Source organism: Homo sapiens, chromosome 12 (genome assembly GCF_000001405.40).
Source record: "Homo sapiens chromosome 12, GRCh38.p14 Primary Assembly".
NCBI lineage: Eukaryota > Metazoa > Chordata > Mammalia > Primates > Hominidae > Homo > Homo sapiens.
In genome coordinates, this window is record NC_000012.12 from 7,301,749 (window position 1) to 7,329,443 (window position 27,695).

A 27,695-nucleotide genomic window follows, 5' to 3' on the forward strand; every position below is an offset into this window, starting at 1 on the left:
AGTGATCTGGCCACCTCGGCCTCCCAAAATGCTGGGATTATAGGTGTGAGCCACTACATCTGGCCTTCCAAACCAACAGCTTTTCTAGGTTTCTTTATATATCAAGAGCTGAAGTCTTCTGTCACAAATGCTTCTGAGGTTTTATTTTTAATATGCAGCATTTATTCATTCCTAGCCACAAACCATGCACTGTGCTAACGTACTCACTAAAACCTTGCAACTACCTAGTGAAGAAGGTATTATTACTCTCATTGCACAGATGCAAATGAGACTTGGAGATGTTAAGCAACTTGACAAAGGTCATCCAGAGAAGCAAGTTTGGATGCAAGTGTGGTGCAAGTGGTATGTGTGTGTGTGTGCATGTGTGTGTGCACGTCTGTGTTTTAGGAGAGGGATGAGAGTCTCACTTTTGGCAGAATGCTAAACCATGAATGTGGTCCACTCTGCTTCTCTTTTCTCCCTTTTCTTTACTCTTGATAATTGCCCAGTTAAGGCGCTATCCCTCTTCTTTTTTTACCTTGGCATAACAGAGAGTTTAACACCAACGGTATTGCCAGCAATAGCTATTTTTGAAATACAGCAAATTGTGTTTGCACCAAATGGACCTGCCACTTATCCAGAAGTCACTCTGAGCAGCACAGAGGACTTGGCAACAACAATGAAGGATGGCACACCCTGCACCCTCCTTTCTATTGTTTGTTATCACCATGCTGCAGACTCAGGTACTCTTTACATTTGCAGATTCTTCCACTCCATTCAAAACAACTACACAAGCCTGAAGGGCAAAAAGGGTGAAGGCATTCACCATCAACAAGAAACCTTTATCGAAGAAGGCAGCACAAGGGAGAATAAATAGCAGAGAAGCTGAGTAGGTTAAGTTCTGAAGTCAGACCAGAGAGGTTCAAACCTTGCCTCTGGTTGCGTCATTGAGCTCATGGTGGCAGAGGCAAGACATGGTTTGTCTCGAGCTGAATGACCTTGGATAAGATCCTTAAGTGTACTTAAACCTCAGTGTCTTCATCTGTAAGATAGAGATAATAATAGCACCAACCTCACAAGCTTGTCATGAATATTGAATGACATCAGAAATGCAAAGTGCCTGCCTACATCAAGAACCTAAAAACTGCCTTTTATTATTGCAGATCTTCTGTGAGTCATGCTTAGTGCTAAGAACACATTACATAGCCTCAACCCATACCGGCTGGGTAGGGAGACAGGGCACATATATGAAAAACTATCATTGATAATACAAAGTAGACAACTGTCACATGAATAGCATAAATGCATGTTACGGAAAACCCAGGGAAGAAATAAACACAAAATTATTTAAAAAATTAATTAGATTACAGATGGTAGTCCAGAAAGAGCAGGCAATTTTACCAATATTAAAAGCAGTTTTTGAAAAAGAAATAAAATCCAAGTCTTCTGGTTCATATGGTAGGATTTTTTAAAATAAAACTATGCCACAATAATATTAAGGAAAATAATCTTAACAACAGCAGTGGTTGCCTGGGTGCAGTGGCTCATACCTACAATCCCAGCACTTTGGGAGGCCAAGGCAGGAAGATTACTTGAGGCTAGGAGTTGGAGGCAAGCCAGCCTGGGTGACATAGTGAGGCCATATCTCTACAAAAAAAAAAAAAAAAAAATTAGCAAGGCATGGTGGTGTGGCCCCTGTAGTCCTAGATGCTCAGGATGCTTAGTCAGGGGGATTGCTTAAGCCTAGGAGTTTGAGGCTTCAGTAAGCTGTGATTGCGCCAACCTGGGTGAAAGAGCAAGACCTTGTTTCTTAATAAACAACAAACAAACAGAAAAACAAAAAAACAACAGTAGTAATTAACACTTTGAAGTCACCTTTTACGAGCTAGGCATTTTATACACATTATCTTATTAAATCCTCACAATAACTGTAGGAGGGAGGTACTATATTTTCCCCTATTTTACAGATGAGAAAATTGAGGTGCAGGAAGATAAGTAACTTGTCCAAAGTCCTACAGCCGGAAAGTGGCTGAACCAGGACTTAAACCCAGGTTTCCAAGCAATCACAATGGGAAGTTGAAGGGGAGAGGAGAACAGGGTAAGCAGGAGCCAGGGAAATGACAGGCCAACTCTTAGTGGGGCATTCATGGCAAGTTAACGGGCCTCCTTTACTGGAAGAGGAAATTCAAGTAGAGGAGTTAGCAGACACAGAACAGTGTATAAAGCAGGCGAAAGGAGGCTCTGAATGCCAGTCCAGACAGCGAAGTTTCTATTTGTCTGTTGTTTGGTTGGGGAGAAGACAGGAACAGAAGACAGGAGTCTGACAATTCTGTAGTTAAGGGGTTTTTTTAGACTCATCTGGTCACAGACAGAATGAAGAGGAAGGGTCCAGTGGCAGGGAGACCAGTCAGTGGCTAAGGCAGCAGCTCTGAGGAAGGATGAGGTGTTTTTCAGGTGTTCCCCAACTTGCCAGGGACACACAGCCACAAATCCACCTCCCAGTCTCACCACAGAGCATCAAGAAACTGATACTCTCTATCCATCTCTCCCTACAGGCTGTAGTACTTCTGTGTCCATAGCAGTAGACAAAGTCCTTTGGGAACCATGAAGATTTTTTTCCGCTACCAGACATTTAGATTCATCTGGCTCACCAAGCCACCTGGCCGGCGCTTACACAAAGATCACCAGCTTTGGACGCCTCTGACTCTTGCTGACTTTGAAGCCATAAATCGCTGTAACAGGCCATTGCCTAAAAACTTTAACTTTGCTGCAGATGTGCTGGACCAGTGGTCCCAAAAGGAGAAGGTATATGACGATGGGCTTCCAGTAGATGCTTGGTGTCCCCTTATCTCTCAGTCTTCCATTTCCTTGTTCTGTGGTCTACCACTTAATTCCAATGCACTCTCTCACCCTCTTGGTTTCCTTTGTTTGTTTTCCAATTGCCCTCCCCTCTCCCCAGGGAAGATCTTAGATCCTCAGCCACAAATGGCTGGGCGGCTCTGGAGCCTTCTCTATCTCCCATCCCCATGGTCGTTCCTCACAGAGTTCTGCCTCTTTTCCTTCTCTTTTCTCCAAGCCCCATGCAACAGTGCTTTGTTTTCAAGTTGGTCACAGGCTTATCGAAAAAGTAGCAAATTGAGTTTTGATTTTATGAATACAGTTATCATTGGAGTAATGAGGAGAGAATTGGAGGTTGACAAGAATAAAGCAAGCGGCCCTTATGCAATGTTTACAGTGCAGCCTCAGGATGAGGTCTCTGTGTACTGATCCTCACCCCATGCCAGGCACTGAGCTAAACACTTAACCAAGCAGTGCTTATCAAAATGCACTGCAGGACCATGGATGGGAACATGATGTTAGGTACTAGACAGACAAGGTATTAAATAACATTGAATCAATTCTTCCTGTTAAATACAGGGGGAAAGCCTTCCTTGAAAGCCATTGTGTCTTTAGCACCTATCATTTGCTAAACACTCTCTTGAATAAAGACCACAGGTAGAAGCTAATCATCTCTAGATAAAATTTAATGGCATAGTTTTGTTTTCAGCATATTTATTTTTCAATAACCTATTTTTTGGCAAGTGGTAATAATTGTCCAATAATGGTGCTGATTAAATATATATTCCTTCTTAAGTAAATGTATACACGTAAAAAGTAAAAAGTGAGTCCATGTAGCGAAGTATACAAAATAAAGAAGAATAGTGCAGGTGCAGGCAGAGCTGACAGAAACAATGAGACTTAAATGACTAAAGATTGAGAAATACTGACCTATATTATTTCACCAAATCCCCATAACAACCTGGGAGGTTTGCAGATGAGGAACTTGACCTCATAGAAGCTAAGCTACTTATCCAAGGCCACACAGGTCCAACAGAACATAAACCCAGTCCCTGATCTTTACAGAGGTTACATCCACAGGGAAGAGACACATCTGTCATATAATAAATTGGAGTCATCTGGAGTATGAGCACAACGATGAAGGAACACAGAGAAGTTAGTGGAGAAACAAAGAGAAGTCTAAGAAAAGCTCACAGACGAACTGACATGTCAACAGGGCTTTAAAGTATTTGCCAGCCAGAGAAGATAAAAGAAGCATTCCAGATAGGGGAAAGAAGGGAGAGTAATTTTTTTCCAGGTAATACATAAGGCAAAGAGGTTTTGCAGTACAGATGACTCACTTTATAGAATGATGGGGAAGAAGTTACCTCTAGAAGTCAATAAATTGATGCCTCCCTCGACCCTGCTCCTTGTGACTTGTGAAAACCACACCTCAGCCTTAGGGTACAAAGAGATGTCTGCTTCCCAGTCAAACTTAGCAGATCCATTCAGGTTATTTGGATGGGAAAGAATCTAATTTAAGCAAGAAAGAAATTTATTCAAGGAATATGGGAGAGCTCACAAAATTGGGCTGGAAGCTGGAGAGTCCATCTCAATGAGGACAGGAATCAGGACAGCTCTCTGAGCATGCGTAAGCACGAATAACCCATAGACAAGTTTTGTACCAACCATTTTCTATCTTTTGATTTCTCTCAGAAAACCAAAAAGTCCAGAGAGAGAAGGTCTGATTGGCCCAACTTTGGTCAAATGCCCACCTACTGCTCGGGGAAGGGTAAAAGCAACCTGAGGGATTCTCTTTTCAAGGCTGTGTTCAATAGGAGAGGGGCAGTTCCCTCAAAGACGAACTCAGGGCGCTGTTAGCAGAATGCACCAGAACCAGTGCCAAAGGGGGAAAACAGCAGATGCCGCATGTAAGAGTAATCAGTCATGTAAACCTACCCCTCTCTTTTCCATGTGTCCCTGGTCAGACAGGGGAGAGACCAGCTAACCCAGCCCTGTGGTGGGTGAATGGCAAAGGGGATGAGGTAAAATGGAGCTTCAGAGAACTGGGCTCCTTGTCCCGAAAAGCTGCCAACGTGCTCACCAAGCCCTGTGGCCTGCAGAGAGGAGACCGTTTGGCCGTGATTCTGCCCAGAATCCCTGAGTGGTGGCTGGTCAATGTAGCTTGCATACGAACAGGTCAGTGCCAATATTAGCATTCTAAATCACACAAACACAGAGAGACTGAAACTCAATGGTTTTCTGAATTGTTAGCTCTGATTAAAAGTATGCATACAGAAGACAAAAAAAAAAAAAAAAAGAAGAGTTAAGGCAATCATGATATAATAATAACAATAACACCAAGAGGGAGGTATTAGTGTGATAACCATTTTGCAGAAGAGGAAACCAAGGCTCAGGTTAAGAAGCTTGCCGGGCGTGGTGGCTCACGCCTGTAAGCCCAGTACTTTGGGAGAACGAAGCAGGTGGATCACGAAGTCAGGAGTTCCAGACCAGTCTGGCCAACATACTGAAACCCCGTCTCTACTAAAAACACAAAAAATTACCCAGTTGTGGTGGTGTGTGCCTGTAATCCCAGCTACTCGGGAGGCTGAGGCAGGAGAATCGCGTGAACCCGGGAGGTGGAGGTTTCAGTGAGCTGAGATCTTGCCATTGCACTCCAGCCTGGGCAACAGTGCAGGACTCTGTCTCAAAAACAAACAAACAAACAAAAGCTTGCCAAAAATCACAATTAGAAAGCTATTCTATTCAGTCACAGCTAGAAAGCTATGCAATTGGGATTTAAAAACAAAGCTCTATAAAAGCAAATTTGGGTACCAACATCTCTTTGCAGTGCTAGATTATCTAGGACATGTTCATCCAGATGATCCAGATAACTTCTCTGAATATATTTGGATTCTCCCTAACAAAAAAAAGATACAACAAGAAGAAAAAGTATTTATACATCAGGACTTATAAGAATATGATTGGCACATCCCAGTTGAAAAATCTCTACCTTTATTTCAGACTAACTAGTATATTCAATGACACACTTTCTCCCCAAGTAGTAATTTATAATTTACCCCAAATAAAAATTCCAACAGGATTTTGTTCCACTCTAGGACAGGAGTTAGCAAGCCATGGTCTGTTGGTTGGGCATCTATTTACATAAGTAATTTTAATGGAATACAGCCATGCTCATTTATTTATACACCGTCTATGGCTCCCTTTGTTTCACAACAGCAGAAATCCTCATTGAGATGGAGATACTATGGCCTGCAAAGCCTAAAATATTTGCTATCTGGGCCTTTATTGAAAAGTTTTCCAATTCCTGCTCTAAAACATGGCATAAATGTTTATAAGTCAATTAAGAATAAATAATATCAAAGGATAGAATATGGTAAAAATCACGAAGATGTTTGTTGCAATGTTATTAATAGTAATAGAAATTTGGAAACAACTAAATAGAAATGACTGAATTATAATAGGTGAGACTAAGCTTAGTTGAGGTGTGTGTGTATAAGTGATTAAAATTATGGTAATTCAACTTGAAATACCACTAAAATGATAATTACAAGGATTTCATAATGCTGTTGAAGATGATCTTTCTGCCAATATTGAATAAAAACAGCATTATATAAAATTCGTTTATATAAAATTCTTTTTGCATTCACTAAAAACAACTTGCAAATGTTAAACCAGTTGTGGATTGAGAGTAGATTAAAGGTGATTTGTTATAAAAAATATGTAATATTGCTTAACATGTTATGAAATGTATAAAATAATAGTGAAAACTGGACAAGCTGAAAGGCTAACATAAAACACTAAATTAAATGTAAAGCAAGGAGGTGAGATTATATTTTCTAACTCAGAATTATTAAATCTTCAATGAGAATATTGAAATTGTTTGTACTATATCACATAGCAAAATATTTTGTTTTCTTGCTGTAAAGTGTATGCAGTAAAGCCTGAGATATATGCTATCTGAAATCCACTAGAAGAAAACTTCTCCTAACCCTGAATTTAGAGGTCTACCCATTGAGTACATTCATATCACCAATCTACCAAGGGAGCTAATTATTTGTAAGTCATTAAGAACAAGTGGTTTGTAAAATAAATAATCTTAAATTTTTATATTGAGCGAATACTCTAAGATGTTTTCTTAATCAACTTCCTTATCCTTATGCATTTATTCACTTTCTCAAGAAGGGATGATATTTAAAAGCTTTTAAAATATATTCATAAAATAAAATCTCCTTCCTAGCAATTCAACTCCACATTTTTGTATTTAGCAAACTTCAGGGAACTCACCAAGAAATGAGTAGTTTGGCTTATAGCACAGGTCTTGGAAGTGTGGGAAATGTATCTTTGAATCTTTTCTATCCTTTGCCACTTATTGACTTTGTGACCCTTGGGCAAGTTATTATTTATATACTGGGATTAATTTTAAGTGAGATACCAGGCACGTAATAAGTGCTCAATAAACAGTAGTGATTATCTGTATCACTTTATATACACTTCACTTCTTGTTCCCAATAATTCACTTTAGAAAGTACAAACTTCTCTCTTTAATCTAATTCGGCCATGTATGTTCTTCCCAGAATGAACTGGTACTTTAAAATCAGACATCTCCAGCCAGTGTTTAGGATGAAATGAGGAGGTGAGATAAACTAAGCATTGCCAAAGTAGTCTAGGCAAACCTTGATGATGCCAGACCACTGGAATCCATAGAGAAGAGGGCTGGCTCTGCCACTCACCAGCTCTGACCAAATCTCACATTCCGTCAATGGGCACAACCACATGGACCTACCAGGGTTGCTTAAAACAGTAGTCTCTAGGCATTTTTGACTGTATAATCTATCAATAAAAATATTTAGGATACACATCTTCCCATCTGGGTATAGCTACTTATGTGCTTCTACTGCACTAATACAGTATGCATATTATGAAACATACAAAAATGAGATAAAAGCATTAAAAGAATTGTAGTTTCTCAATAATTTCTAGTTCTTTAAAATTTTTAATATTATTTTAAAAATTAAACAGGGACGGAATCTCACTATGTTGCCCAGGCTGGTCTCAAACTCCTGGGCTCAAGTGACCCTCCTGCCTTGGCCACCGAATGCACTGGGATTACAGGTGTGAGCCACCATGCCCAACCAATAATTTTTCGAATTTCTATTTTCATTTCTTAGTCCCAATGGATTGTTGAAAAACTCACTTTGGAGGCCACTGGTTTTTTTCTCTTGTTTGTTTGTTTGAGACAGAGTCTCACTCTGTCACCAAGGCTAGAATACAGTGGTATGATCTTGGCTCACTGCAGCTTCCATCTCCAGGGTTCAAGTGATTCTCCTGCCTAGGCCTCCTGAGTAGCTGGGACTATAGGCGTGCGCCACCACACCTGGCTAATTTTTGTATTTTTAGTACAGACAGGGTTTCGCCATGTTGCTCGGGGTGGTCTCGAACTCCTGGGCTTGATTAAGTAATCTACTGGCCTCGCCTCCCAAAGTGCTGGGATTACAGGCCCAAGCCACCGCGCCTGGCAGGAGACCATTGGTTTAGAGAATTGAATGAGACAGTGCTCATGAAATGTGTTATAAGCTGTAAAGTGCTATTTAAGTAGTACACAATAATGATTCAAACGTGACATTAAAATGTTACATAGTAATGGCCCACCATTATAATGTCTGCTCAGACACTTACTGTTGTTATTCCCATTTTACAGATAAGGAAAGAAAGGCACAGAGAGATCAAGGTCATAAAGCTTGTAAATTGCAAGGGCAGGATTAGACCCATGGTCTGTCAAACTCTGAAGCTAGTGCTCCAAGGGATCTCTCAGGGATCAGGGTCCTGTGCAATATCCTTGGGCATCAAGGCAGAGGTAGCTGAGGTAGCTGAAGAATGGATTGTGATGCTTCTCCTCACCGAGGCACAAAGCCCAAGTCTTCCACAATGGACAGCAGTTCTGTTCAGTGCAGGGCCCTCTGTCCTTCCCAGGGATCATCTTCATGCCGGGAACAATCCAGCTGACAGCAAAAGACATCCTCTACCGGCTGCGAGCATCCAAGGCCAAGTGCATTGTGGCCAGTGAGGAGGTGGCCCCAGCGGTGGAGTCCATTGTATTGGAGTGTCCTGACCTTAAGACAAAACTCCTGGTGTCTCCACAAAGCTGGAATGGGTGGCTCAGCTTCCAGGAGTTATTTCAGTGAGTATTTTTCCCAGCCAATCTACACTGCTGGCAACAACACAAATTATAGCTATATCTTGGAATCTCTTTGCCTCCAAGGACTCAGGAACACTGTCAGTTGATCTGGGCTCTTACTCAGAAAAGAATTACCTAATAGCTGGGTGCGCTGGCTCACACCTGTAATCCCAGCACTTTGGGAGGCTGAGGTGGGTGGATCACTTGAGGTCAGGAGTTTGAGACCAGCCTGGCCAACGTAGTGAAACCCCGTCTCTACTAAAAATACAAAAATTAGCTGGGCGTGGTGATGCCTGCCTGTAATCCTAATTACTCAGGAGGCTGAGGCAGGAGAATTGCTTGAACTTGGGAGGCAGAAGTTGCAGTGAGCCGAGTTTATACCACTGCACTCCAGTCTAGGTGGCAGAGTGAAACTTTGTCTCAAAAAAATAAATAAATAAATAAATAAAATAAAAGAAAAGAAAAAGAAAAGTATTACCTAATAAATGAATTTAAGGGCAGAAGAAAGGCACGTAGCTCTGCCTCCCCTCTCCTGCTCTCTACTGTGGCCTATGATGAGTATCCTGTGTGGTCTGGCCCTTGCTTAAACCTGGACCACATCTCCCACCACTCTCCCTTTTCTTCCTCAAACATGCCCTACCTCCGCTCCTGTTATTTCTTCTGCCTGGAGTGCTCTTCTTATTCCTTTTCACGAGTGGCTCCTTCTTGTCATATTTTGACTCAGTATTTTATCCTAAGAAGTTTTCCTTGACCACACTACCTAGAATAGAACTACAAGCCACTCTATTACAACGTCCTCCTGTTTTCTTCATATCACTCGTCACCACCTGAATTATCATGCCCATTCATCCATTCCCTTATGTAGAGTCCTTTTTCTCCTCTAGAGTAGGGTTTGGCAAATTCAGGCCCACAGGCCAAATCTGGCCTGCCACCTTTTTTGTTGTTGTTGTTGTTGTTTTTTTTCTGAGACAGGGTCTCACTTTGTCACCCAGGCTAGAGTACAGTGGTGTGATCTCAGCTCACTGCAACCTCCACCTCCGGGTTAAAGTGATCCTCCCACCTGAGCCTCCTGAGTAGCTGGGATTACAGGCACCTGCCACCACCCCTGGCTCATTTTTGTATTTTTAGTAGAAAGGGAGTTACACCATGTTGGTTAGACTGGTCTCGAACTCCTGACCTCAAAGTGATCCGCCAACCTCAGCCTCCCAAAGTGCTGGGATTACAGGCATGAGCCACTATGCTCAGCTCTGTTTTTGTAAATAAAGTTTTATTGGAATGCATCCATGCTCATTTTTCACATGTTGTCTATGTAACAACAGCAGAGTGGAGTAGTTACAACAGAAACTGTATGGCCCACAAAGCCTAAGCTACTTGCTATCTGCCCCTTTACAGAAAAAGTTTGGCAACCCCTGCCCTAAACCATAAGTTCTAAGAAAGCAGAGACTTTGTTTGGTTGATCTTCCTGTCTCCAGTTCCTAACACATAAATGGTGCTTAATATTTATAAATGAATGAACAAAAGAGATCACAACTGCAGTTTTCCTCATAAGTAAAATGGGAATAATTATACTGTACTTATCTCAAGTGTTGTTTTGAGGGTAAATTAAATGAATATGTGAGAAAGTGTTTTTCAAGCTGTGAAAAAATGAGTGAAGTGTTAATTAATGGCATTATCTTTCAAAGAGGTGTTGAATAGCTTATGTTTAAAAAAAAAATTCTTCCAGAGAAGTTTATAGAAAGAGAAGACATGCAAACCCTGCTGAATAATAGGGTAGTTTTACTTGTGAGAATGAAATTTTATCCTACTAATTAATATAAACCAAATACTACTGGCCAATCCCAAGGGCCACACCAGTGAATACTGCTTGTGTCTTTTATAAGCTGTGTAACCTTGGATAAGTGAGGTAACATTGCTGAAACTCTTTATCTTATCCATAAGATGGAGATGATGATAGTATCTACCTCATGGGGTTGCAGAAGTATCAAATGTGATAAAACATGTACAATTCTTAGCTTAATGCCTGGCACAGAGTAATTACTCCATAAATATCTAGTAATTATAACTGCTATCATTATTATTTTCAAGTTAACAAAGTCATTCAATAGTGTAGTGATTCCTAAGTTAATGGTATTTATATTATTTGAATATGCATCTCCACTAGTAACATACTTTTTAACATACCCCCAATACATGCATTTATTTGTAAATTATATACATGTACTTTTGTGCATTATACAAATACCAAAAATAAAAATTTTAGAGGATAAGTAAAACGATACAATTGTGCCACTGCACTCTAGCCTGAGTGACAGAGACCCTGTCTAAAAAACAAAAAACATGTAATTTGCAATTCTTCTTTTTTCTTCTCTACCCTAGTTGCCTTGCACACTCCCTGAGCAGCAAGCACTTCCACTTCAGAGACTCCTGTCCTAAACAACTTTGCAATAATCTATTGAGTCCCCAAGAAACTGTAAAGATACCACAAAATTTACAACGGATAAAGGACTTTAAATTCATATGGATTTCAAATTGAAATTTGCACACTTTGGGAGTGGTTTTCAAGATGGAAAAAATCCTTATTTAAACAAATGACTTTGGAGTGTCATAACTCCAAAAAGGCCATGGACTGTTTCTCTAAAAACTAGGGAAGGGATAGCCGTCTCATTGCCAACAGTTGGCTAGTTTTTCGGAAGACTACACACAGCAATAATGTGGGCTAATTTTACATTGTTAGAGTTGATCTTTTATTCAATAAGTTCATTTTAAGGCTTCTTGCCCTCCTTCTGCCTCCCAAGTATAGAAGTCCATTAACACTTTCCAGAATATTCATAATAGGATAATGGAAAAGGTCAAAATTATAAGCCAGACTGATATTTCTCTTTTTCTGTCCTAGTACAAAGGACCGTGTCCTGTGGGGTCCAGGACTCTGGATTCTGATCATGAGGGGTTCAAGATGGTGTTCCAAGCACGGGAACAGCATGACCAAAGATAAGGAAGGAAAAAAAATACCCTAAGGTGTGCAGGGAATGGACTACAGGCAGTTTGGTTTAGCTAGAGAATAAAATTATGGAGTCAGAGTGAAGCCTGGAAGAGCAAACAGAGGCCAGGGTATGGGAGATCTCACATGCCATGCTAAATCTTAAAATTGACCCTGTAAGCAAGGGAAGCCATTGATGGGTTTTAAGAAGGGAAGTGCCAAGGTCAGGTTTGGATTTTAAATAGATTTATCTGGCAAATATGTAGAGGATTAGTTTGAGAAGAACAAACTGGAATCAGAGAGGCCATTTTTGAGCCTCATCTAGGGCAGAGATAATAAAAAACTAAATCTGAGCTCTGATGAATAGGACGGAGGAAAGAAAACAAACTAAACAACTAGCAGGACTTGGAGAGTATTGGATGTAGAAGATGAAGGAAGAAGGAGTCAAGGCTGAGCTGCTTTTGACTTAGGTGATTGGTAGGTGGGTACCATCAGTTGGAGAAAGAGCCAGTAGATGAGGTTAACATAATAAGTTTAGAGTTGGACATACAAGATTGAAGGGTCTGTGAACATTCAAATGTCTAGCAGGTAGTAGGTACATGAGTCTCAGGGACAAGAGGCAAAGATACAAAGCAAGAAGTTATTAGTATATAATTAGCTCTGAAATCTAGAAAGGCATAACTCGGAACTCAGGTATTCAAGGAAAGGAAGTCAGATAATGGAATCACTGCTTGAAAATCTTCCTGTCACTCACAGATTGTGATGCTTTTTCTTTTAGATAGACAGATAGATGGACAGATGAAAGATTGATAAGTAGGTAGGTAGGTAGATAGGTAGATAGGTGGATGGATGAATAGATAGATGAAAGATAGGTAGGTAGATAGATGATAGATAGATAGATAGATAGACAGATAGATAGATGATAGATAGAGAGATAGATGCCTTCTATCAAAAGGTTTCCATACTGGATTGAGAAATGTTTAAACATAAGAGGTCTCCCCACAGGTATTAGATTCTGTGAAGAAATACCCCTCTGTAGCCCAACACATATCAACTTCACTGTATACATACACTGAAAAGAAAATCAATATAGTTGAATGAATGATCTTTTTCTATTTTAAGGGGAGGAAGCAAGTTACCAAGAAAACCATGTTAATATTTTATGAAACTATTTTTAAATAATCCTCACTGTTGGCTGGAGATGGTGGCTCATGCCTGTAATCCCAGTACTTTGGGATCCCAAGGCAGGCAGATCACATAAGATCAGGAGTTCAAGACCAGTCTGGCTGACATGGTGAAACCTCATCTCTACTAAAAATACAAAAATTAGCTGGGCATGGGGGCACATGCCTGTAGTCTCAGCTACTAGGGAGGCTGAGGTGGGAGGATTGCTTGAACCTGGGAGGTGGAGGTTGCAGTGAGCCGAGATTATGCCACTGCACTCCAGCTTGCATGGCAGAGTAAAACTCCGTCTCAAAAAAAAAAAAAAAAATCCTCACTGTTTTTACCATTTCAATGACAATGTCACTCATTCACCATCAAGATTAATTAAAACAGCATCCTTAACCCTGTTCCCTTCAACCAGAGAAATTAAAAATATGATACACCAGCCAGGTGTGGTGGCTTACGCCTGTAATCCCAGCACTTTGAGAGGCTGAGGCGGGTGGATCACCTGAGATCAGGAGGTCGAGACCAGCCTCGCCAACATGGTAGCACCCCATCTGTACTAAAAATATAAAAATTAGCCGGGTGTCGTGGTGCATTGTCTGTAGTCTCAGCTACTTGGGAGGCTGAGGCAGGAGAATTGCTTGAATCTGGGAGGTAGAGGTTGTAGGGAGGCGTGATCATGACACTGCACTCCAGCCTGGGCGACAGAGTGAGACTCCATTGCAAAAAATAAAAAAATAAATAAAAATAAAAATATGATACACCAGTCTCAAAAATTCTCAGATACTGTACCGGTTATTCATCATTGAGTAACAAACCATCCCAGCACTTAGTGGTGTAAACAGTAGTTATTTTATTTGCTCATGAGTCCATGGGTCAGAAATTCGCACAGGGCTCAGCAGAGGCAGCAGTCTCTGCTCCACATCAGCCTGACTGGGGCTCAAGTATCCAAGGTGGGTTCACCTTTAAGTCAGGCTGGCTGCCAGCTGAAGCACCTCAGTTTTCCTGCACATAGCCTCTCCCTCCAGTAGGACAGTCTAAACATCTTTATATGGTGGCTAAGTTACCCCGCAGGGAAAATGAAAACTATGAAGTTTCTTGAGGCCTAGGCTGAGAAGTCCCAGAACTTGTGCCACAGTGTATTAATGAAAACAAGTCATGAGATCACCCCAGATTCAAAGAGAGAGGACATAAGTCTGCCCTATAATGAGGGAATGGCATACAAGGATGATTTGTTACTCAGTGATGGATAACTAATACAATATCTAAGAATTTTTGTACAGGGATGGAAGGAATCATGGAGCTATCTTTGCAGACAATCTTACACAGAGATTGTCATCAGTTCAGTGAATTCATTGGGTCAATGAAATTAACATGGACCCAGATTCATTCATCTTCCTATCATGCCACCCTCAGTATACATCCAAGATGGCCAGGGTAGCCCCAGACATCCTGTACTTGCACAACAATACTTAAAGGCCATAAAACAGGATGGGCAGGGGAAGAAGGCTGCATCTCTTCCTCATGACTCTTTTTAGAACAAGAAAATATATTCCATTAAAGCCTTACATCTCGTTGTCCATAACTGCATCATGTGCCCAATCTTAAACCAAAGGAATGACTGTGACTGGCTTAGATTAATCAAGATTTGCCCCAGCAGCTATACAGGGACAGTCTCCCCTGAAGCACTTGATTGCCTGATACTTGAACAAAATCAGTTCTATGAGTGCAAGGAAGAAGGAGACAGCTATTTGGTAAGCAACCAGCTGCGTCTGCCGCAGATATTGAAGATACTGAACAAAAATTATTTAAAAGTTTGAATCAAATGCCAAACGATCTTCCTTTAAATAATAAAAACTCCTGAAACATTAATAGCAATGTATGAAGATTCAATGCTGATTTTCAAAAACTCACAGACTTTTTCTTAAAACACACTTGGAAAAAAAATGTTACAATACATAAAATGCATGTCTTTTGTTATTAATATTGAAAGTTATCTTGGCTATTTCTTTACCCTATAGGGAGATGAAGCTTAAAAAAAGAAGAACTGGGCTGTTAAATCTTAGCACTGACCTTCAAAGTCCCGCTAAGATTTCTTGAGGAATTCCTCTCAGGAAAGCTTTGGATTAGGTTCAGTTCTGTTAACTATCTTCTGGTAGCAAGAGGGCATAAGTAGTTGAGCAGAGGAAATATCAGAGTCAAACTGGTCTGCCATCTTCCACCGCCATCTTGGGGTCCATATTTTGCAGATTCGCCTCTGAAGAGCACAGCTGTGTGGAAACAGGAAGTCAAGAACCAATGACCATTTATTTCACCAGTGGGACCACAGGCTTTCCTAAAATGGCCCAGCACTCTCAGAGCAGCCTCGGCATTGGGTTCACCCTCTGCGGAAGGTAGGGAAGAAAATTCAGTTTGTTTTTGGTGAACTCCCCCAAAGCTGCGAATATGCGTATCCAACTAACTGATACTTCTCCTTGAATTGCTATAAGATATTGGCAATTATAATAGCTACAAAACAGAACTCTTGCTGGCCCCGCCCAACCTAGCTCAGTAAATGGCAGCATCTAACCAGCTGATTAAGCAAAAGCTTAAGAATCAACCTTAATTAATCCCTTAACAGCATGTCTGGCTCCCTTTTCTCATTGCCAGGAAGGCCTACCCAGAAAGGCCTTCCTAAAAGAGAGGCTATCCGACCATTGTCACATTATCCTATTTTATTTTCCTCATGGCATTTATACTACTTGAAATAATTACATTTATTAATGTACTTAACTCACTTTATTGTATATTTATTCACTATCTGTCACCCTAAAATAAGAGCAGAGATTTGGTCTACCTTGCTCACTGCTGTAGAACAACGCCTAGCACATTTCGGCTTAACAAGTATTTGTTGCATCAATGGACAAACTCAAAAAATCATGCCACACCCAGCCTCCCACTGTACTCTCAGACCGCCTGGGATTCTGAAAATGCCCTTAAGAAGAGTAGAAGTTGAATCTATCACCTTGCCTGGGGCTTCTTTTGACCCTTCTCTGTAGCCCTTAAGATATAGGGGCAAAGTCACCCCTGAAAGATACCAGTTTGTAATTTTTGTTTGTTTATTTTTGGTCTGTTTTGTTGCTTTTTCATATCATTTAGGTATTGGCTGGACTTGAAGTCCTCAGATATCATATGGAATATGTCTGACACGGGCTGGGTCAAGGCCGCCATTGGCAGTGTGTTTTCTTCCTGGCTGTGTGGAGCCTGTGTTTTTGTGCATCGAATGGCACAGTTTGACACTGACACCTTCCTAGACGTAAGTCATGTCCTCCAGCTAGATAGATCTTTAGAGTTCTTCCTTGTTTCCCATAAAATCACAAAGAAATTATTCCTTAGAATACAAGGCTTCTTGGGCTTTTGGAAATCATTTCTTTATACAAAGCAAAGTCTCAAGGGCCTCAGCTTTTGAAACGTATTTGACAGAATGGAGGGGGAACAACTGCAACACTCTGAGGCAGGAAATCCAGACTTCTGCTTCAAATAGCTCAGGATTTGCTAGTGTTGCTAAATCTGTAGCTACTTAAGAAACTGGTTCTAAATAACAGATTAGGAGTCTGAAGTCTAAACAAATACTTCATTTCTAATTCAATGAAATAAAGATAATAGCTGATAAACCAGAACTCTTGTGTGGAGTGGACATTAAAGGTGGGGGTGCCTTTCTCCCAGAGCAGCTCCTCTTATTCTCCCCCAGCCTATACTTCTCACTTTGTTAATTCTCAGAACCCGATACTCTTCTGGAAATCGGGCATGCATGCCCTGTCTTCTCAACCAGGGACAGCTAGATTGAGATATCAGATAACTCCAATTTCTTTAGACTTTAGAAAAATGTGATTCAGGCCAATTATTTTTCAACCATGGCAAATTTATTAAGTTTAACAAAATACATATTATTACATACAAACCATACCTGTGTGTGAATAAAAGCTCTTCACCTGTTATTTTGCTAAATGGTCTGACAAGATGGTTTAAGGCAGCAGTCTGCAACCTTTTTGGTACCAGGGACTGGATTCGTGGAAGACAATTTTCCCATGGACTAGGGGGAGCGGGGAGATAATTTCAGGATGATTCAAGTACATTACATTTATTGTGTACTTTATTTCTATTATTATTAAATTATAATGTATAACGAAATAATTATACAAGTCACCATAATGTAGAATCAGTGGAAGCCCTGAGATTGTTTTCCTGCAACTAGACAGTCCCATCTGGGGGTGATGGGAGATAGTGACAGATCATCAGGCATTAGATTCTCTTAAGGAGCACACAACCTAGATCCCTCACATGCACAGTTCACAATAGGGTTCAGGCTCCTATGAGAATCTAATGCCACCATTGACCTGACAGGAGGCGGAGCTCAGGTGGTAATGCGGGCAATGGGGAGTGGCTATAAATACAGATAAAGCAGGCATAATCCCAGCACTTTGGGAGGCTGAAGCAGGTGGATCACGAGGTCAGGAGTTCAAGACCAGCCTGGCCAAGATGGTGAAACCTCGTCTCTACTAAAAATACAAATAATTAGCCAGGCATGGTGGTGGGTGCCTGTAATCCCAGCTACTTGGGAGGCTGAGGCAGAGAATTGCTTGAATCTGGGAGGCAGAGGTTGCAGTGAGCCGAGATCACACTACTGCACTCCAGCCTGGGTGACAGAGCAAGACTCCGTCTCAAAAAAAAAAAAAAAAGAAAAAAATACAGATGAAGCTTCGCTCACCTTGCCCCGCCACTCACCTCCTGCTGTGTGGCCCAGTTCCTAATAGGCCACAAACAGAAACCAGTCTGTCCTTTGGGTTGGGGATCCCTGGTTAAAAGGTCTTACTTAACATAAATGTACACTAACCTAAGAACTGAGATCTCTACATCAGGTTTACAAAGTGCCCTAAAGTTGGTAAGTTAACTTTGCAGTTTCAAAACCTACATTTGTAAAATAAGAATACTTTTATTTTACAAAAATCATGTGTGTATTTTAAGTGCTATAAAAACCTTTATAGATTTATGCTATTTTTAGGTGTATACATTACACTTTCTAAAAATAATTAGACTCTGCGGAGCAGATACACATGGTAGAAATGCTTACTTACCGATCAAACATCATACTTTATCTGTGACAATCCAGGCAGCCCAGACATACATTTTGAGAGCCTTCTCCCAAATACTTAAGTTTAATACAAATTGTCAATACATTAAGGGACATAGTGGAACTTCTCCAGAAGGAGGAGCTCTAAAACATTAGTATTTCTCTAGATTTAAGATGCCTAGGCCATATCTTATTTAAGAAACCAGAGACATAATGAACTCAGCAAATTTTTAAAAATTAAGAAAAGGCCAAAAAAAATGCTTATTTCTACATTTATTCAACTTACTGAAAAAGACTAATGTATTTTATAGGAATGGAGCTGGAAAGGTCCCAGTAGGTTAGCTTATACATCCATAGTCAATACTATCCATGAATATATTGGCAGGAGGTTACAAGATTACACTATAAGAGGTAAGTTGTAGCCCTGAGGAAGAATAAACCAGTTCATACTTTGGGTTGTTCTCAAATTAAGCAATTCACTTGTTGAATTAGATTGTGTATGTCTGTTACTGTAATATTAATATATATACATTCTTTTCAGTAATTGGAAATTCCCAACAGATATACAGTCACTAGTGACAAGTAATAAATATTGTTTTCTTATTCCTAGTAGTGACCACGGGATGGGCACATATTAATGGAAGAAAATAACAGGGTGTAGATATCAGCTCTAGTCATGGCCTTTGAATGACCACTTCTGACATCTGTGTCTTTCTCCATCATCCAGACACTTACTACTTATCCCATCACGACCCTGTGCAGTCCTCCCACTGTGTACCGGATGCTCGTGCAAAAAGACCTTAAGAGGTACTTGGGCAGAAATCTCCATTTGAACCACAAACAATAGCTACCATCCAGGATCACAGATCTCTCTTTTTCAGCATAGGATAGCTCAGGCTTTCTCAGTCTTACCACCACTGACATTTTGAACCGAATAATTCTATCGTCGGAGGACGGTCGTATGCATTACAGAATGTTGAGCAGCATCTCAAGACTCTATTAGACGCCAGTAGCACCTCCTCCTCCCCATTTGTGAAAATCAAAAATGTCCCTAGACACTGCCGAATGTCTTCTGGGGGGCAAAACTGTTCCCTAGTCTAAGAACCACTGGAATATCCTCTAGGACAACTGGACATTTTTCCAGGGACAACCAGACCTCTGTAGTCCCAGAACTCCCACTCAAAAAAAAATTGTCCTCTAGTTCTATTCTTTTAAAAACACTGTCATTTAGAACTCAAAAAAGAAAGAAAGAAAAGCACATTTATACTGCTTTGAAGAAAAGCTAACAAAATTTATGACTTGAAGGTCATATTCAATTTAGCCAAACCATATGAACATCCAGTAGAGTTGCAATGTATATTTGTTTAATTCAAACTCAATACATGAGGAGAGAAAGGAATAGAGGAGCAAATTAAGTAGCATAGGCTTGTCCATCCTCTTTTGCCACCAAAGTGTGGTTGCCCAAGAGGGAAAGTGCTATGCGAGACAGAATAAAGCAAACATGGATCTTCTCTTTTCCTAGTCAGTGTCAACTCCTTTGCTCCTATGTCACGGCCTTTGAAACATCAGCATCTTGTTCACATTTCAAGAGTAATTCAGGGACTATTCAATGATTATTTTGAATACACATGATTTGTATTCTACCCACACCCTCTGGCCCATTTGGGGCCTCAGTGTATGAGAAGCAGGCTGTTCCAGGCTTTCTCACCTGTGTCCAGTAAGGCTAGTGGTTAAAAGCTAAGCTCCAAAGTCAAACAGGCAGGGCCCTGCTACTTACTAATCACGTGGCCTTGGACACTCAAGATAACCTTGCTAAGCATCAACTCCATCTAGAAGAGAGGATTAAGAGCCCCCTCATAAGGTTGTGGTGAGAATTTAATGTAAGTGACATGCTTGGTGAGATCACCCTGACAAGTGGGAGGTGCCTGGTACAGAGTTTCATGAGTATCAACTCAGTCCTTTATTACATGGAAGGCTTTCGGCAAGTTCTTTAACCTCTCTGAACCTCAATGTCCTCATGTGTAAATAGGGGTTGAGAAGATTCTAAGAATGCTTCTAAAGCCCTTACAACATAGCGACTGATCAATCAATATTAGCTGTTATATCATGTGGCTCATCAAAAGCACTTAGTATCATTAATAGCATCTTCTCCTGCCTTTTTACATCTTTAATAGCTAAGTTCTCCTCCACCTGCTAAAATGAAAGCTGTCAGGAATTTTCGTTATAATCACTAATGTGCCCCCATATGCCTAGAACAATGTCTGGCAATATAGCAGGTGTTCAACAAGTATTTGTTGAATGAACTTTGCTAAGACTTGCCTCTCCTAGCTGCTATGCTTACTGCTTGAATGTCCTAATTGTCTTGCAGTGAAAGCACTCAGGTTCCTCTTGAAAAGACCCATGCAACTCTGTCTCTCCAGATATAAATTCAAGAGTCTGCGGCACTGCTTGACCGGAGGGGAGCCACTCAACCCAGAAGTGCTGGAGCAGTGGAGGGTGCAAACTGGGCTGGAGCTATATGAGGGCTATGGACAGACGGAAGTGGTATATCTAAAGGGCATTTATGTTTAGTATATGTGGGGGCCTTTCTGCCCCAGGTTTTTCAACTGAGCCCCTGAAGTGCCCCCATCCCACTGTAAATTTTTATAGAGTTTCCCGGGATACCTCACCTTGCCAGTAGTTACCAAAACTTGCAGATTGCTCAGTTAGGTTTTGATGAAGGAGAATGATGATTATTCCATCATTCCTGCCTCCCCCTTATGCAGGATAAATCTCAGAGGCGTTAGCGGGTGGGTGAGGTTCAGAACTGAGCAGCTCATCTTTCCACTGTGCTGGGAATAATCCTCTGAGAGCGTCCATGGGAAATTGAGTCCAAGGTGCATTTAACGGAGTCCAAGGAGTGGTTTTCAAAGTGTGGCCCTCAAACCAAGCAACATCAACATCATCTAGGTAGATTTGGTAGAAATACCAAATTCTTAGACCCCATTCCACACCTAATGAATCAGAAACTCTGGGATAAGGCCCATCAATCTGTGTTTCAACAATGTTCCAGAATTTCAAATTTGATTCTACTGCACACCGAAGTTTGAGAACTACTGGTTTCAAATAATATATTTCAGAAGGTGCGCCTGCATACCAGGAAAATCAGTCAAAATCAAATCTTAATTTTCATTGCCATGATATAGTTTCAGAATATAAACTTTTGTATACTTATACAAAGCTTGTCCTCTCAATAGGGAATGATTTGTGCCAATCAGAAAGGCCAAGAAATTAAACCAGGTTCAATGGGGAAAGGAATGCTGCCCTATGATGTCCAGGTAGGTTGAGAAAATATCTGACTGGTTCAGTAAAGGAGAGAGAACGTTTTCCTTTTCTGCTATTCATTGCACAACTATTCATAAGCTGCTTTCATTTTTGTGAAAAGAAAATTTTAAGACCATCAATTATTTCTTTCATTCCAGATTATAGATGAAAATGGCAATGTTCTACCACCTGGCAAAGAAGGGGAAATTGCCCTCAGACTCAAACCTACACGGCCCTTCTGTTTCTTCTCTAAATATGTGGTATGAGGATAGAAAGTGCTGGTCATGCTTAATACAGACTTGGGTTCAAATTTCATTTCCACCGTGTCTTGCTATGTAATCTTGGGCAAGCAACAAAATCTTTCACAACTGTAAAATGGGGAGACTATCATCTGTCACCCAAGAGTACTGTAAAGATGAAATTCCAAATGTAAGAAACCAGTTGCAGTGGTTATCCTCAGAAAGGAAAACCGGACAGGCTGGAATGAGGGTGCAGTTGGGGGGTGCTAGAGGTAGAAGAGGGGCTTTTTATTATACTCTTTATGACCTTTTGTATTTTATATTACAAACTATCTTTTAAAAAAATTTAATTTCCAGCCAGGCACAGTGGCTCACGGCTATAATTTCAGCACTTTAGGAGGCCGAGGTGGGAGGGTGGCTTGAGCCCAAGAGTTCAAGACCAGCCTGGGCAACATAGTGAGAACCCATCTCTACAAAAACATAATACGGTTAGTCAGGTGTTGTGGCACATGTCTGTGGTCCCAGCTACTCAGGAGGCTGAGGTGAGAGGATCACTAGAGCCCAGGAGGTCGAGGCTGCAGGCTCCAGTCTAGGCAACAGAGAGAGACTCTGTCTCAAAAAAAAAAAAATTTCCTATATAAGTAGGATGTGTAATGTACTAGTCACTTAATGAGTGCCATACCCATCTCTGTTCTGACCAGACTAATCCCCAAATGTCATCCTTGGTTCCCAGGACAATCCACAGAAAACTGCTGCCACGATAAGAGGAGATTTTTATGTCACTGGAGACAGAGGAGTGATGGACAGTGATGGGTATTTCTGGTTTGTCGGCAGAGCTGATGATGTCATTATATCCTCTGGGTTTGTATATTTGCCACTCTGAAGAGGTAACAATTCGACAGGGAGGGAGATCTCTAACTTGGAGGATGTGGTGGTCAAAAACTTCTTTTCCTCTTCAGGTACCGTATTGGGCCATTTGAAGTGGAGAGTGCACTCATTGAGCATCCAGCAGTTGTTGAATCGGCTGTTGTCAGTAGTCCAGATCAAATCCGCGGAGAGGTAGATGAATGTCATTTATTAAAGAAGCAACATCATATTTTCAAGTTCTGTCCATTTGACCACTGTAAAGGCTGAACCAAGAGAGGTCAATCTATTAATTCTCGTTATGAAGCATGCATTTGGCCAAAATATAAATCAGGCAACCAACTTTACAATAAGTTGTGTCCCAAAGGGGTGGTATTAGAATTCTTTTGATGGCAAGTGGCAGAAACACAATTCCAACTGCCTTAAGTTAAAAAAAAAAAAAAAGCATTTGGCTCATATAAGTGACAAGTACTTAAGTACAGCCACATCCAAAGGTTCATGTGAGGTTGGCAAGATTTAGCCCCTCTTCACTTTTGGCTCTGCTATTCTTTGTTATGGCTCCAGTTGATCAGATTCTTCCTACTTGATAGCAACCAACTCCAGGTGTATACACCTTAGCAACCCTCCACCCCTTCAGGGAAGGATACAGCTCTGTTTTCAGTTGTTTCAAGTAACTCTCAAGACTTCATTTGCCTACCTTAGATCACATCTCTAACCAATGTGGTTCAGAGACTGGTACATGCTGATCGGTCAGACTTGGATCATACGTCTATCCTTGGAAGTAGGTGTTGGTGTCAGTCCCACCAGAGAGAAGTTAGGGTAATACTCCATAGGAAAATTAGTTACTAAAAAGGAGGAACAGATACTGCATAGGCAAAAGCCACAGATTTCACTGAATGGAAAACTGTCATGGAATTCAGAATATCTTTTCTCACAGAAACAAGACAAATAGAAAATGGTGGGCTGGGCACGGTGGCTCACGCCTGTAATCCCGGCACTTTGGGAGGCCGAGGTGGGTGGATCACTTGAGGTCAGGAGTTCGAGACCAGCCTGGCCAACATGGTGAAACCCTGTCTCTACTAAAAATACAAAAATTAGCCTGGCATGGTGGCGGGCACCTGTAATCTCAGCTACTTAGGAGGCTGAGGCAGGAGAACTGCTTGAACCTGGGAGGCAATGGTTGGAGTGAGCCAAGATTGCACCACTGTACTCCAGCCTGGACAACAGAGACAGACTCTGTCTCAAAGAAAAAGCAAGAAAGAAACAAAACTGTGGCCAGGTTCCCAAACAAGTCTCATGAGCCTATTTAGGATCTAAGGAAAGGGAACTCTGGCAATGACAATAATAGCCTTAATTCTAGGAGGAAGCCCTATTTTCATAATTGCTTTTCCTTATGGAAGTTTCTACAGACACAACAAGTGACAAAATTTCAAAACAATTTGTCAGCATCGTTCCACATCTGTACCTCCCTCTCACACACCAGTGAGCCTCTGTAGTGACACTGTGGATCCCATACTCTTACCTCCTGTACTCACTCTACTCTCCATCTATTCCATTCTCAAAAATAGTTTCTTCCTGCCACCATGTTCTTATTCTCTCAATATAAATGATTTCAGCTGAACAGAAGTAACCAACAATTAGAATCAATGTATGAACAATAAATAATATAAATTATGCTTACTAACCTCAGTAATTGTCTAACTGGTGGGTTTGAAACAGCATTTCAAAGAGAAGCAAACAATATGAGGCAAAAAAGACCTCACATAGATCAATCCTTCCTGAGAGGTTTTTGGCTTTTGGCTTTGTTTTGTTTTTTTGAGATGGAGACTTGCTCTGTCACCCAGGGTGGAGTGCCGTGGTGCAGTTATAGCTCACTGTAACCTCTCAAACTGCTGGGCTCAGTCGATCCTCCTGCCTCAGGCTCTCAAGTTGCTAGTACTACAGGTGTGCACAACTGCACCCTGGTTAATTTTCTTTTTAAGTCTTTGTAGAGATGGGGTCTCACCATGTTGACCAGGCTGGTTTCAAACTCCGGGGCTGAAGTTATCCTTCTACCTTGGCCTCCCAAAGTCTTGGGGTTATAGGTGTAAGCCACCATGCTCAGCCCTTTCCTGAGATTTGATCTCCCAGGATACACAGTCCTTCCTCCGTTGAGACCCTCCAAACTGCTTTGAAACCACATATTCTCTAGGAACTCCATTTGTTCCCCTGCTACATGCTTCTAATGGTATAGGTTTAATGGAGTAAGTGGTCATCCATAAACCAAGGACTGTCTGTGTAATAAATAGGATCAGTCTGATTGAAATGTTAAATATATATGTATCTATAAATAGAACTTAGCTTTCTTGAACTGCTGCACTCCTCACACTCATAAACCACTTACCTGAAAATATTCTGAAAAACCTCACTTTGTAATTGTATCCAAGCTTTGTTCAGAGGTAACCTCTGGCATTTGCAGTCATCACACAAACTGTTATTAATAAATAGTAAGCACCTGTGTTCAGCATTTGTTGCAAATCCTTGATGTGTCTGAAAAACAAATGAGCAAGATAAATTAACTTTTCTGTTGCAGGTGGTGAAAGCTTTTGTTGTCTTAGCTGCACCCTTTAAGTCCTACAACCCAGAGAAATTAACTCTTGAACTTCAGGATCATGTGAAAAAATCAACTGCACCTTACAAATATCCAAGAAAGGCAAGTGCTTTGCCCAAAAGTTAAGTTTGGATGTTACCAAACTAGGGTCTAAGCTAGAATTAGATTTTACTGGATTTTGATTTTATAGTAGCTCATTATATAGGTAGAAGACACTTTTCAATTTGTTTAACCCTAAGAATTTTGCTTTAAAATGTTTTATATTAGAACGGTATAAGTGAATTATAAACCAGAACCTTTAATCAACTCTGCAATACTGAATCACTACTAAGAGTCTTTCTAGGACTAACTAGTCCCATTCTGTATGAGAAAAACACAGTGGCAAAGAATTGCCAAGTGCCTTGTTTTTAGGGACAGTGCTTGATTCACCTATCTCAGTACTCTTATCCCTAATACCCCTATAAATTCAAAGTACATGCCTTGAAGTATCAAGTGACCTCATTTAGTGTTCAGAAGAAGATGATATCCAAAGAAACTATGGAATCTTTCCTGAAACCTTCTTCAAAGAAGGATTTAAGAACAATACTACGTAAATACATGAAGATGGCCCTGTAGTTTCCTTCTAACCATGGAACTGGGTGATAATTACTGATCCTCTGCATGAGATTTCTGTTTAGCACTGTTTCAGTCAAAAAGTAGTTAAACCTAAAAACTACTCACATTTTCTCCATTAAATTCACTAAATCATTGACTAAAGTCACTAAATCAGTGACTGTTGACTTTCAGAAAGGCTATCTGAGGGCATTTTAAAATACAGTAGTCTTATTTTGAGAGAAGAGAACAAAAAGAGGATTTTTGTGGTCAAGTCAGGGCAGAAGGGAAAACTGTATATACTCCAAATTATCCCTAAAAATCTTCCTCAAAACCTCCAGCATCCAGCTCTGAAAAGACAAGAACTGTTCTTTTTGTATTTAGCTGTAATCTCCATTTCTCGGGAACAGTAGAAGCCTAGGACTAGTTTGAACTAGGGGAAAGCAATGGGGTAAAGGGATTATTACTTTCTTCTGGCAAAGCATTTCAGTGAATTTGCACTAAAAACCCGTAAGATGGAGCTACACTATCACCCTTCCTACATAAACAGACGTTTCTGGTGTCCATGAAATTCAATGAGCTTAGGCTAAGATAATCTCGACTTTAAAATTCAGTCTGAGTTCCATGCAAGCTCCTTCCTATCGCACGGACAATTGGAAGGATGGAATCAAGTGTCTCATCACGTTTTTTTCTGTCAATTAGGTGGAATTTGTTCAAGAACTCCCAAAGACAATCACTGGGAAAATCAAACGCAACGTTTTAAGAGACCAAGAATGGAGAGGAAGATAGTTTGATAACAAAGCTGAAGGGTTAAGCAGTAATATGGTTGCTTTCTTTTAGTATTTGTTCCGATAATTCAGCGACTACTCTCTTAAAATGTTTAAGATCTTTCCTGCTTGAAAACTCAACTGTTGATTTTTTGGTTTTTACTTAGCTAAAAAGTTTAAAAGTAAATAAAAGCCTCAAAAACGTATGGATGAAAATTGTTATAATGACCAAACTGACAAAGGTAATGATGATGATTTGTAGTGTTTAAAATAGCAGGAATAAAATGATTGCTTAGAACAAGAAAGTGCACATTGAATCTGTATTTCATTTACCTTGTGCCTGATTGATTCAAAATAAACATATATCCTAAGAGAAATGTTCAAGACAATTTCTTCTGCTTAACATCTTTATGAGACCAAACTTCAAGACATTAAAGTAAGGAGTATAAATAATTCAAAAATTAGCGAGTTTAATGAAATTAAGTACTGTATTATTGTGCCTCATTTTGAAGCAAACTAACTGTAAAATATCTGAATGTATACATCTGTATATATGTATATATATCTGTATATATACACATATGTGTATATATGTATATATACTGTATATCTAGATACATATATACATATGTGTATATACACATATGTATATATAGATATATCTGTATTAACTCTGCAATACTGATGTATCTGTATATATACATATGTATATATCTGTATATAAATATATATATCTGAATGTATATATACACATATGTATCTATATATACACATATATACATCTATATACATATACATATATATACATCTGAAAGTGTATATGTATATATATACACATAAAGCAAGAGATTTACTAAGAGGCCAAAAGAAAGAAAAAGTACAGAATACCAATCTTTAGGGAACAAATTTACTTTTATTTTTTATTTTCTTTTTCTTTTTTTTTTTTCAGCTATTAGTGGTTTATTTGCTTCAGTACCATATTTAATTTTTTTTTCTTTTTTTTCTTTTATTATTATACTTTAAGTTTTAGGGTACATGTGCACATTGTGCAGGTTAGTTTTATTTTTCTAAAAATATCAGGAACTATGAAAA

The 27,695-nt window shown here is 40.1% G+C and overlaps 2 protein-coding genes across 4 annotated transcripts in view, besides 2 other annotated features; one reads left to right on the forward strand and one right to left on the reverse strand.

Annotated features, from left to right (window-relative positions):
• The first annotated feature begins 2,323 nt into the window (after positions 1-2,323).
• ACSM4 (acyl-CoA synthetase medium chain family member 4) lies at positions 2,324-26,971 on the forward strand. Its single transcript, NM_001080454.2, has 13 exons — positions 2,324-2,784; positions 4,785-4,995; positions 8,791-8,998; positions 15,389-15,532; positions 16,278-16,434; positions 18,977-19,056; positions 20,670-20,793; positions 21,486-21,566; positions 21,711-21,812; positions 22,525-22,652; positions 22,751-22,850; positions 25,228-25,347; positions 26,539-26,971. The coding sequence occupies exons 1-13, from the start codon at positions 2,584-2,586 to the stop codon at positions 26,623-26,625; spliced, it is 1,743 nt and encodes a 580-aa protein (NP_001073923.1). The 5' UTR covers positions 2,324-2,583; the 3' UTR covers positions 26,626-26,971.
• Positions 14,765-15,964: an enhancer, noted in NCBI's record as "MED14-independent group 3 enhancer chr12:7469109-7470308 (GRCh37/hg19 assembly coordinates)". NCBI's record gives its function as "activates an origin of replication core promoter dependent on BRD2, BRD4, P300/CBP and CDK7 cofactors, and independent of MED14, by STARR-seq in HCT116 cells {active_cell/tissue: HCT116}" and the evidence as "EXISTENCE:reporter gene assay evidence [ECO:0000049][PMID:35650434]".
• The window catches only part of CD163L1 (CD163 molecule like 1), a 125,386-nt gene continuing 114,710 nt past the window's right edge, over positions 17,020-27,695 (reverse strand). The window contains exons 21-23 of one of the 3 annotated variants that reach the window (XR_007063068.1): positions 25,039-25,184; positions 24,178-24,271; positions 17,020-22,921 (exon numbers count right to left, since the gene is read on the reverse strand). The gene's annotated coding sequence lies outside the window, so the exon portion shown is untranslated. Of the gene's footprint in view, positions 22,922-23,352; positions 25,185-27,695 lie in introns of all 3 variants that reach the window. The other 2 variants (XR_931282.3, XR_007063067.1) reach the window with 2 other exon arrangements.
• Positions 21,894-23,093: an enhancer, noted in NCBI's record as "BRD4-independent group 4 enhancer chr12:7476238-7477437 (GRCh37/hg19 assembly coordinates)". NCBI's record gives its function as "activates an origin of replication core promoter dependent on BRD2, P300/CBP, MED14 and CDK7 cofactors, and independent of BRD4, by STARR-seq in HCT116 cells {active_cell/tissue: HCT116}" and the evidence as "EXISTENCE:reporter gene assay evidence [ECO:0000049][PMID:35650434]".

What these genes read in the sequence shown, in the direction of transcription:
- ACSM4 (NM_001080454.2), top strand. Translation starts at nt 2,584, where the DNA reads ATGAAGATTTTTTTCCGCTACCAGACATTTAGATTCATCTGGCTCACC. An exon ending in GCTATGGACAGACGGAAGTG is followed by an intron (nt 20,794 to 21,485) that starts GTATATCTAAAG and finishes TCCTCTCAATAG; the next exon opens with GGAATGATTTGTGCCAATCA. An exon ending in CAGATCAAATCCGCGGAGAG is followed by an intron (nt 22,851 to 25,227) that starts GTAGATGAATGT and finishes TTTCTGTTGCAG; the next exon opens with GTGGTGAAAGCTTTTGTTGT.